Genomic DNA, 11872 nt, shown 5'->3' with positions numbered 1-11872 from the left:
AGGATGTCACAATTGTGAAAGCAGAAAGTTGCTGTTTAAAGCATCAGAAGACTTGGGTATTTGTCCCTGCTGTCATTAATTGACTCTGTGACCCTGGGCAAGTCACTATCACTCCCTTGTTTGTCAAATGGGGATAACAAAATATGTCTGCATCCAGGACTTTTAAGTGGCTCAAATGCAATAATGTGAGTGAAAATGCTCTCCAAACTTTGAAGTCTTCACCAAAGTAGGTATTCTCACTTGGCACGAAAGAGTTTGTTAGGAAAAATGAATTAATAATAAAACTAGTGAGGAATGTATAGTGAGAGCCACTATTCTTTTTTTCCCTGTAGTAGCTGATGAAGGAGGTTAGTGCATGTCATAGTTCAACTGCCTCTTACTCATGTACCTAAGGTGTTTTTCTTCTTAGTAGACAGTGGAGGTTGGGGGCTCCTGCATGCATCTGAGGTCTCAAACCTCCATTCATGGGTAGGGCTGGGAGTCGTAAAGGAAATCCAGGATCAGCTTGGATGATGAAAGCAGTAATAACTGCTTACATTCATTGAGTGCTCACCATATGCCAGGCAAATGGTGCTTTTCCTCTATTAGCTCATTTATCATCATAACATCCCTTTGAGGTACTGTTTTACAGGTAGGGAAAAATAAGGCAGAAAGAGGTAAAGTTTTACAGGTGGGAAAAAATGAGACAGAAAGATGTAAGGTAACTTCACTAAGTTTGACTGGTGGATCCAGGATTTGAACCCAAGTAATCAGGTTCAGGACTCTAGCAAATAACCACTCAGCAATGCTGCTTAAGTTCTGGTAGCGTTATGTGTGCCGCTGTTGCATTACAGAACAGCACCAGCTAAGTCCAGGGCCCCAGAAACTCTTGTCCCCAGCAAGCTTTCACAGGAGGCCAGGACAGAGGAGGTGCTCTGTGATGCCGCTGAAGATAGTGATGCTCTTGTAAAGATCTTGCGCTTTCTCAGTGCTGCCTTACGCTGTATAATCACTTTAAAAATTAGACAGCCACATATGACATTGAAAAATAAAAACCATTCAAAACACCATAATGCCTTTCAAAGCTATTTGTCAGTGGATTAACAACATTTTGATTAGTAGAAAAAATTACCCTTAAATAACCGCAATGAACTGAAACATACCCCAATATGTTTAAATATATGAGTTTATCCTATTTATTTTATACAATAAAAGCCCACATTACAGAATATTAGAAAACTCACTATTTTTAAAATTAGTAACTAAAAGAAAAGAATTAAGAACTTACTCACTTATTCAGGGCTGGTGCGGCGGGCTCACATCTGTAATCCCAGCACTCTGGGAGGCCGAGGTGGGCGGATCACTTGAGGTCAGGAGTTCGAGACCAGCCTGGCCAACATGCTGAAACCTCATCTCTACTAAAAATACAAAAATTAGCTGAGTGTGGTGGTGCATGCCTGTAATCCCAGCTATTTGGGAGGCTGAGGCAGGAGAATCGCTTGAACCCAGGAGGTGGAGGTTGCAGTGAGCTGAGATCGCACCGCTGCTCTCCAGCCTGGTGACAAAGCAAGACTCTGTCTCAAAAAAAAAAAAAAAACAACTTATTTATTCTGCTTTAAAAACAGTTTTATTGAAATATAATTGATATACAAAGAGCTGCACTTTTTTTTTTTTTTGAGACATAGTTTCACTCTTTCACCCCGGCTGGAGTGCAGTGCTGCAATCTTGGCTCACTGCCACCTCTGCCTTCTGGTTTCAAGCGAGTCTCCTGCCTCAGCCTCCTGAGTAACTGGGGTTACATGCACCCACCACCACACCCAGCTAATTTTCGTATTTTTAGTAGAGACGGAGTTTCACCATGTTGGCCAGGCTGGTCTCGAACTCCTGACGTCAAGTGATCCACCCGCCTCAGCCTCCCAAAGTGCTGGGATTACAGGTGTGAGCCACCGCACCTATTTAATGTGTACAATTTGATGAGTTTGATCATATGCAAATACCTGCGATACTATCACCACAATCCAGGTAATAGATACATCTAAAACTTCCCAAAGTTTCCTTGTGTCCCTTTGTTTGTTTTGGGATAAAAATGCTGAATAGGAAATTTGTCCCCTAAACAAATTTTAAAATACATATACTGTATTGTTAACTATAGGCACTGTGTTGCTCAGCAGATTTCTAGAACATATTCCTCTAGCAAAACTGAAATTTTATCATACCCATTGAACAACAACTTCCCATTTCCTCCACCCTCCTGTCCCTGGCAGCCACTATTGTATTTTCTGCTTCTATGAGTTTGACAATTATAGATACCTCATATAAGTGGAATCTTGCTGTATTTGTCCTGTGACTGACTTATTTAAGTTAGCATAATGTCCTCCAGTTTCATCCATGTTGTTGCAAGCAGCAGGATCTTTTTTAAGGTTGAATAATATTCCATTGTATGTATATATCACATTTCCTTCATCAATTCATCTGTTAATAGACATCTTGGATGTTGTGAACTACCATGCAACTTCCCGTGAAATGAACATGGGAGTATAGATATATTTTCGAGATCCTGATGTACATTCTTTTGAATACATGCCCAGAAGTGGGATTGCTGCATCACATAGTAGTTCTAATTTTAATTTTTTGAAAAAATCTCCATACCGCTTTTCATAGCTGCTGAACCATTTTACATTCCCACCAGCAATGTGCAAGGGTTTCAGTTTCTCTACAACCTCACCAACACTTATCTTTTTTTTTTTTTTTTTTTGATAATAGCCACCCTAACGGGTGCAAGGAGTTATCTTGTTGTAATCTCCTTTACACTGAACTGCTGGAGTGCAGTGGCAGGATCTTGGTTCACTACAGCCTCCGCCTCCTGGGTTAAGTGATTCTCCTGCCTCAGCCTCCCAAGTAGCTGAGATTACAGGCACCACCATACCCAGCTAATTTTTTGTATTTTTAGTAGAGATGGGGCTTCACCATGTTGGCCAGGCTGGTCTCGAATTCCTGACCTCAAGTGATCCACCCCCCTCAGCCTCCCGAAATGCTGGGATTACAAGTGTGAGCCACCACAGTGGGCCTCACTGTAATCCTGATTTGCATTTTTTGATAATTAATGATGTTGAACATATTTTCATATACTTTTTGGTCATTTATATGTTTTCTTTGGAGAAATGCCTGTACAAATCCTTTGCACATTTTTATTTTATTTTTATTTACTTTTTTTTTGAGACATAGTCTCGCTCTGTCACCCAGGCTGGAGTGCAATGGCGTGATCTCAGCTCACTGCAACCTCCGCCTCCTGGATTCAAGCAATTCTCCTGCCTCAGCCTCCTAAGTAGCTAGGATTACAGGCGCCTGCCACCACGCCTGGCTACTTTTTTGTATTTTTAGTAGAGACAGGGTTTCGCCATGTTGGCGAGGCTGGTTTCGAACTCCTGACCTCAGGTGATCCACCCACCTCGGCCTTCCAAAGTGCTGGGATTACAGGCGTGAGCCACTGCACCTGGCCTGCACATTTTTAAATTGAATTATTTGTTTTTTGTTATTGAGTTGCAGAAATTCCATGTATATTTTGGAAATTAACCCATTATTAGACATATGGTTTGCAAATATTTCATCCCATTCTGTAGGTACTCTTTTCATCTTGTTGATGTTTCCTTTGCTGACCTGCCTTTGGTATATGAACTGTACCATGGAGTAATCAATTAGTAGATGAGGAAAATTTCTCTTTATGGAAGTATCCCAACATATAAATGAAAACAGAGTAGCATTGGAATGTCACAATTTTGCAACCTAAAATAAGTTAATCATCTAATGATGAGATAAAAAACAGTGCTAATGTGAAAAAGAGAGACAGCAGACACCATGTGCCTCCAGATAGAAGAACATAATACCAAGGATTAGGTAGTTTTGCCAAAAATTTGAACCTGAATGTGGTTAAGTTCCTAGATGAAGTAACAATTTACAGAAAATACAGAGGACGGAAGAATGTGTTAAATAATGCATTAGCAAAATCCAATCTATAGGTAAATTTAGAGGACAAACAATCCAATTTATTTAACAAAAACATTATGAAGAATAAAACAGGAAGAGGAGGAACCTCTGAATTAAAAGATACTTGTAAGACATATCAACTGATTGCAGTACGTATACTAATTTGAATACTGATTTTAGCAGACAAGCTACACAAAAAATTTATGAATTTGTTGAGACAATTAGAAATTTGCATGTTGACTGAATATTTAGTGGTATTAAAGCATTATTGTTTTTTATATCAAATGCAATGGCATTTTAGTTAGGTTTACAAATTGTCCTTATATTTCAGAGATACATACTGAGATACTTACAGATGAATGATATGATGTCAGGGATTTGCTTCTAAATAATATGGGAGGAGGGGATAAAGGGTATAGAAATGAAACCAGATTGGCCATAAGTTGATAATTCGTAAAGCTAGATGATGAATGCATCTAATGCTTAAGTAAGTGTATGAAATTCTCCATAATAGAAGTTTGCAAAGTGTTAGCAGTTACAAAAAAAAGTGTACTGTGTTTGTTTGACTTCTCATGGGGTTAAAATGAAGAGGCTTGATGACACCTATATTGGTGAGGCTATGAAGCAATTGGAAATCTTATATGTTGCTGGTTGGCGTGTAAAAATCATATACTACCTTGGAAAACTGTTAGGCATTTCTTTATGAAGTTAAACATATACCTATCCTAAGACCCAACCATGTCACTTCTAGACATTTATCCAAGGAAAATGAAAACATATGTCCTTAAATATATTTAAACAAGATTGTTTATAGCACCTTTACTCACAATAGCCAGAAATTAGAAACAGCTTAAATATCCAGGAGAATGAATAAACAAATTGTGCTATACTAAGCCCATGAATACTACTCAGCAATGTGAAGAAAAAACTAATGATACAAGCACCAACTTGGTTGAATCTCATAGACATGAGGCCAAGTAAAAGGAGCCAGATGTACGAATCTGGAAAAGTTTTCCTTTTACATGACGTTCTTGAACTGGCAAAACTAATCAATGGTGATAGAAATCAGAAAAGTGGTTGCCTCTGAAAGGGGCTTTGGGAAGGGCAGGAAGGATCTTTATTGGGGTAGGGGTTACATGGGTGTTTATGTTTGTCAAAATTCATTGACCTGTATTGACAAGATCTATACATTTCATGGTGTGACAATTATACCTCAATTTAAAAATATCAAATAAAAATAAAATCACGGATGGATTCAGGCAACTACTTACCTGGTGTGAGGCTCACAGGCAGAGCTGTCTATTTGCTTTAGCACAGCTGCTAAGGCAGCCTCAGCCTGGCAAGATTCCAAGGCAGAGAAGACCTCTATGACTAGATCTTTCTATATCTGGCTCAGGCTCAAAAAATTTTCTTTCCTGAATGAATTGGTTAAGTGGGCTCTGAAAAAACAGGCACTTAATAGTTTAGTTAAATTCTAGCTGAAGGTCAAAGGCAAGTGATTTTTATTGATCTCTCATATTACCAGAAACAAGAGGCATAAACACTAAACTGAAGCTGGGAACAGGGGTGGGATGCTTGGCTCAGCTGTGTTTGCCTTGCCATGGGCATGACACTTCAGTTTTCTGGACCTCAGTTTCTTTTTTTCCCAAATGAAGGAACTGTATAGAATGGTGCAATGGTTTGGATATTTGACCCCTCCAAGTCTTATATTGAAATGTGATCCCTAATGTTGGAGGTAAGACCTAATGGGAGGTGTTTGGGTCAGTGGGGGATTCCTCATGAATTACTTGGTGCTGTCCTGGTGGGAATGAGTCAGTTCTTGCTCTATTCGTTTCCATGAGAGCTGGTTGTCAAAAAGAGCCTGGCACCTTCCCTCCCTCTTTCTCTCTTGCTTCCTCTTGCCATGTGAGCTCTGCACACACCGCTTTCCCTTTGCCTTCTGACATGAGTGAAATTAGCCTGAGACCCTCACCAGAAGCAGATGCTGGAGCCATGCTTCCTGTACAGCCTGCAGAACTGTGAGCCAAAGAAATCTCTTTTCTTTATAAATTACCCAGCCTCAGGTATTCCTTTATAGCAACATAAATGGACTAAAACAAATGGTCTCTAGGGCCTCTGTCATATCCAACATTCTGAGTCTCTGCATAGCTTTATTTTTCCCTGGAGTGCTAAAGAAAGTGCAAAAGTGAACCCAGCATCATTTTCTCTAAACTTGCTCTTCTTCCTGCATTTTTTTCTCAGTTTTTCTCAGCACCACCATCAGGCATTCATTCACTGAGCAGATACTTATTGAGTACATAGTAGGTGCCAGGCACTGCTGCAGGTATTGTGATGCAGCAGTGAACAAAAGAGACAAAATCCCTGCCATAAAGAATCTCACATATTGTAGTGAAGACAGATAGCTAATAATGAAATTATATAAGCACTAGAGAAAGATGGAAGAGAAGGGATAGGGGATGCTGGTAAGGATGATTTGTAGTTTTAGTGGAGTGGTCAGGAAAGGTCTTACCAAGGAAGACCTTTGTACATACATGAAAATTGTCCCTTGTTATGCACGAAATATTTGTGTCTTCTCCAAACTGATATGTTGAAATCCTAACCCCCAATATAATGGTGTTTGAAGGTAGGGCCTTTGATAAGCAATTAGCGTTAGATGTGGTCATGACAGTGGGGACCTCATAATGGGATTAGTACCCTTTAAAAAGAGAAGGTGGCAGGAGATCTCTCTGTCTGCCCTCCACTATGTGAAGATACAATGAGAAGATAGCCACAAAACAATTTGCAAACCAGGAAGCAGGCCCTCACAGGAGACCAAATCTGCTGGAGCCTTGACCTTGGACTTCCTGTCCTCCAGAATTGTGAGACATAAATTATTTTTTAAGCCATTCAGTCTTTGGAAATTTGTTATAGTAGCTGAACTAAGACAACTCTGATCCACCTCTCTTTGACACCTCCCACTCAACCATTTGGTGTGCCCTCTAATTACATAGTGTAATATTTCTCAATTTTATTTCCTCCCTAACTACTAATACCCAGGTTCAGACCTTAACATCTCCTGTCTGGGTTACTGTAACAGTACCCTATGGAAGTCTTCTTTGGAAGAAGATTTCTTTCTTCCAAGGAAATCTGCCTTTCTATGGCTCATTCCCTCCTGTCATCTTCTTGTCTTCTCCAATCAATTTTCTACAAGGCCATGTCAGAGAGTTATCTGAAAGGCATACCTGACCATGTCATTCTACTATTTAAGACTCAGCAATGGTTTCCTTCTGCCAACAAGGTAAAGGCCAGATGCCTTAACAAGGCATTTCATCCTCGTGTGGTCTGGCACTTGATGACTGCCCCAACCCCATCTCTCACCCAACTGGCCTTGACGTCAGTGTTCCAAAGTAGAATTTCTCCCTCCATATGCAATACCATCCAGAATGCTCATATCTCCCTGTTCATGCCTGCGTCAGTCCTGTTTTTGAGTCATCTTAGTAATCACTTCCACTGGATAATTTTCAAATTCTGTATTCTGCACCCACCCCAGATAGGCTGGGTGCCCTTGTCTGTGGTTCTATGAAACTATGTACACACATTCTTTAATTGCATTGTTTTCCACGTTGTTCTGAAATGATCCAGGAAGACCCCATTCTCCCAATGGACTATGAATTTTCTGAGCAGAGAAGCACATCTTATTCCTTTTTGCATCTTGGCTGCAACCAAGTAATCAGTGACTTCATTTGTGTTCTGATCCTCCCATTCTCTTCTCCTCACTGATCTCAGTAGGCTAACCAGGATGATTTATAATTTGCAGCTGAAAGACAGAGATGGGAGACAGTCCTATTTCAAGGCTGATTTCAATTCAGGTTAAATGTCAGACAGTCACAGATTCTTAGACTTGGCATAACAATTACAGGTAATCTAATGCAACAACCCACCAGACACTTGGAGGTCCTTCAACATTTCTACAAGCTGTAGGGCTATGGAATTCTTCAAGTATGCTGTAATACTGATAGAATAAGGTGAATCTTCAGTTTACTAGAGGCTTTCTCTTTTCTGCTTTTCTCTGGTTCAGGATGTCATGTGTGAAAATGATGAAGCAGGAAATTATTTGTATTAGAACACATATGTGTTTCCATACAGATGCACACACAAACACACCGTGTAAGTTTAAATCTGTAAGTTGCTTAAGATGATAAACAGCAAACTATTACCTAAGATGTTAAGCATAAGTTGGAGACTGAGATAGTAACCAGAGAGAAAATTATTTGTAAGTTGAAGTTAAAACCATCTGTCAAAGCAAAGGGCTATGAGTAAAAAGCAAATGGATTGGTAGACTCCACAGGTGGATGGCCAGAGACAAGACCCCACCCTGGCAAGAACCTGTCAGCTGGAACCAGCAGTCTGGACACCAGTCTAGCTCTATAGCCAGAAGAGGGGACTGTGAGCCTAATATAAGCCATGCCCCATCAGAGTAGCCTCAAGTGCCATGTTAGTCTTAGAGTTTTCTGAGCAACACCTTACTTACTTGCTGCTCATATCCCATTTGAAATCAACACATTTAAACTGCTTAAGCTTGCATTTCACCTTTGGAGAATCCCCATCCTCTGAGTGCCTCCCTGTCTTCTCTTTTGCTTGCTGTTCTTGTGGAAAATAGAGGTATATCTGTGGGTGAAAATAATAACAAACTCTTGAAGCATCGGTATTCTTTAAATTTTGCCTTTGCCTCTTGTACTTGGTCTCTAAGTAGTGTGGGGTCGAAATTGTTTTTTACATAGTAAAGTATGAAGAAGGAAACTGGCCAGGGATGGTGGCTCACACCTGTAATCCCAGAAATTTGGGAGGCTGAGGCGGGCAGATCACCTGAGGTCAAGAGTTCGAGAATAGCCTAACATGCTAAAACCCCGTCTCTACTAAAAATACAAAAAAATTAGCCAGTCGTGGTGGCGGGCTCCTGTAATCCCAGCTACTCAAGAGGCTGAGGCAGGAGACTCACTTGAATCCAGGAGGTGGAGGTTGCAGTGAGCCAAGATTGTGCCATTGCACTCCAGCCTGGGCAACAAGAGTGAAACTCAGTCTCAAAAAAAAAAAAAAGAAGAAGTGGGAAACTTACTTTGTCCAGAGGTAATTCAGTCCATCATAGTATAGCCAGTTTGGTAGCTATTCCCTTAGTTGAGCTGAAATTGCCTTTCTATGGCTCACTGATCCTAGTTCTAACCCAGGACCACATAGAACAAGTTCAACAGGTCTGCCACGTAACAACCCTTTAATATTTCAAGGAAGCTTATTTGTGTGATCAGAAATTACCGAACTCAAATATCATGTGCATAGTACGATGCAGGCCCATGGTAGTATCCTTATAAATGGTCGAGTTGGCTGGGCACAGTGGCTCACGCCTGTAACCCCAGGATTTTGGAAGGCCAAGGTGGGCGGATCACTTGAGCCCAGGAATTCAAGACCAGCCTGGGCAACATGGCAAAATCCCATCTCTACAAAAAATACAAAAATTAGCTGGGCATGGTAGTGAGCACCTGTAGTCCCAGCTACTTGGGAGACTGAGGTGGGAGAATTGCTTGAACCTAGGAGACAGAAGTTGCAGTGAGCTGAGATTGCACCACTGCACTCCAGCCTGGGTAACAGTGTCAGACCCTGTCTCTAAGAAAAAAAAAGGTCAAGTTATTATTAGTTGCATTATCATACTGCCTTTGTGCCATTTCATCATAAGTTAAGCTCTTTTAGGAAAGAGGTTGGCTGGTGTCATAGAAATGGAGGTTCCCACTTAATACATGTATTAGGAGGTTCCCACCTGATACATCAGTTTTTTATTTAATATAATTTTTTTTTTTGGAGAAAGGGTCTTGCTATGTTGCCCAGGCTGGAATGCAGTGTGCGATCATAGCTCACTGTAGCCTCCAACTCCTGGGCTCAAGCCATCCTTTTGCCTCAGCCTCCCGAAGTTCTGAGATTACAGGCATGAGCCACCATGCCTGGCCTACATCAACAACTTCGTATGTAAATGTTAGACACCAGGATACTGGCTAACAGGAAGTGTTCTTCCTTTACCCTCCACTACCTCTGTCTTACCATTGTTTTTTGTTTTGTTTTTATTTTTGTTTTCCACCTAAGACAACAGAAGAGGTGATTTACTGTATACCTGTAACACTTGGCCACAACTGAACACAGAAACAGTCCAGAATATCACAGATCCAGGAAAAAGGATAAATAGGAACTGTTTTGATGCGAGCAAGGTGAGACTCTCAGAACTTTCCTCTCAGAGGCGGTCTTGGTGATCAGATGGCTATGGAAGTTCTAGGTCAGTTGAGAGACAATCTCTAGAGAGTAGCATGCAGTCCAACAACTTGTACCAGCATCCCCAGCCTCTGGCGTCCCATGTTTCTGTTCCTGTGAAATGCACCTCCACGGGTGCACAAATTGGGAGTTTAGTTGGACCTCAGTCTCATCTTTCTTCTTTTGCGCTTCAGCCTATACATTCGCTTCTTGGCTCTCACAGCGGAGAGGCTTCCAAGAAGATGGCGCTAAAATGGAGAGCCTTACCATTGTTGAGTGCCAAATCATCCTTGAGGACTTAACTCAGTTTACCTCCTCTTTGTTTCCTCCCTCCTCCCAGGAGAACTGACTACTCCATTTCTTCCCTTGAATTGAGACTGAATACTGCCTGTATTTCTATGTGGTCTATCCCACTGCCCTCATCTAGAATACTGAACTTCTCTTGGTATTTCTAGTTTCAAACAGAGTGCCTGGAACATAGTATGTGATAAATATTTACTGAATAAGTGTAATTTTTGAGAGTATCAGATTATATAATTTTTAGAGCTGAATAGGAACTGTAAATATTTTTCTGTAACTCATTCTTCCATTTCAGTGGTTCCCAACTTTGACTTTGTATTGGAAGGTATTGGGGAATTTTAAAAAATCCTGAGGCCCTCGTTTTACAAAATTCTGACATAATTATTTTGGTGTGCAGCCTGGGCTTCAAGATTTTAAGCATCATATCTTAGGTTGCTGATTCCAGTGTGCAACTAAAGTAGAAAAACTGCTTTATTCCCTTTTTGCGGATGGGGAAGCTGACTTCCAGAGAGGTCGTGTGTTCTGCCCATGTTAGGTGGTGGGTGGAAATGAACAAAGAACTGAGGCGTCCTAACACCTCTTCTAACACACTTTCTATGGTGCTATTCATCTTGACTTGAGATGGACAGCGCTCTCCACTGGGGCACTGAGGAGGAGCCCCCAGTTCACAGGCACCCTGGAGCCTGCTCGCCTTCCAATTTTAGGACAAAAGATTAGAAGCAGCTATCATACTTACCCTTATAAAATATCACCAAATAGTATTGGGGGTGGGGGGTGGGAAAACAGCATCACTTTCTTCCTTGTCATTTTAGTGAAGGGAATAATCTTACTTTTTACAACATTCCATTTTTCCTGTGGGACTTCATAAAAGTAATTTCATTTTGAATAAAAACCAAATGCCATTTGTAAACTTTGTAATTGATGACTGAATTGGCCTTTGTATGTCAAGTATGTTTACCAGCAACCTAGGATACAATGTTTAAGCCAGTTTGTTGTTGCCTCTGCCTTAGGTAAGGGAGACCCGTGCTGCCTACCATCCAAATATTTCTCAAATTTTCCCAAAGCCTGTCCAAGCACTCCTTAACCATACCACTCTTCTAGATATTTAGGAGCCACCAGGCCAATCCATTTACACAAAGTAGAGAGAGCGTATTCTGGTTATTTATTGCTGTATGACAGATTATCCTGAAACCTAGCAGCTTAAAACAGCAACTATTTTATTATGTCTCATGATTTTGAGGGGCAGGGTAGGGCTCAGATGTCTGGCACCTGTGCGTGGATGGCTGGAAGGTCAAGATCAGCTAGGACTGTCAACCAGAGCAATTACATGTGGCCTCTC

General features: G+C 41.0%; 1 long non-coding RNA gene across 1 annotated transcript; it reads right to left on the bottom strand.

Moving 5' to 3' along the window:
* Positions 1-6004: 6004 nt before the first annotated feature.
* Positions 6005-10296, bottom strand: LOC107985830 (uncharacterized). The gene is made up of 3 exons (XR_001739224.1): positions 10100-10296; positions 8474-8610; positions 6005-7759 (listed from the first exon to the last, which is right to left on the bottom strand). It is a non-coding gene; the product is annotated as an uncharacterized LOC107985830 (long non-coding RNA).
* Between the last annotated feature and the right edge of the window lie 1576 nt (positions 10297-11872).

This window comes from Homo sapiens, chromosome 2 (genome assembly GCF_000001405.40).
Source record: "Homo sapiens chromosome 2, GRCh38.p14 Primary Assembly".
Taxonomy (NCBI): domain Eukaryota; kingdom Metazoa; phylum Chordata; class Mammalia; order Primates; family Hominidae; genus Homo; species Homo sapiens.
The sequence above is the reverse complement of the archived record's forward strand: the minus strand, read 5'-3'. Positions and strand labels throughout refer to the sequence as shown.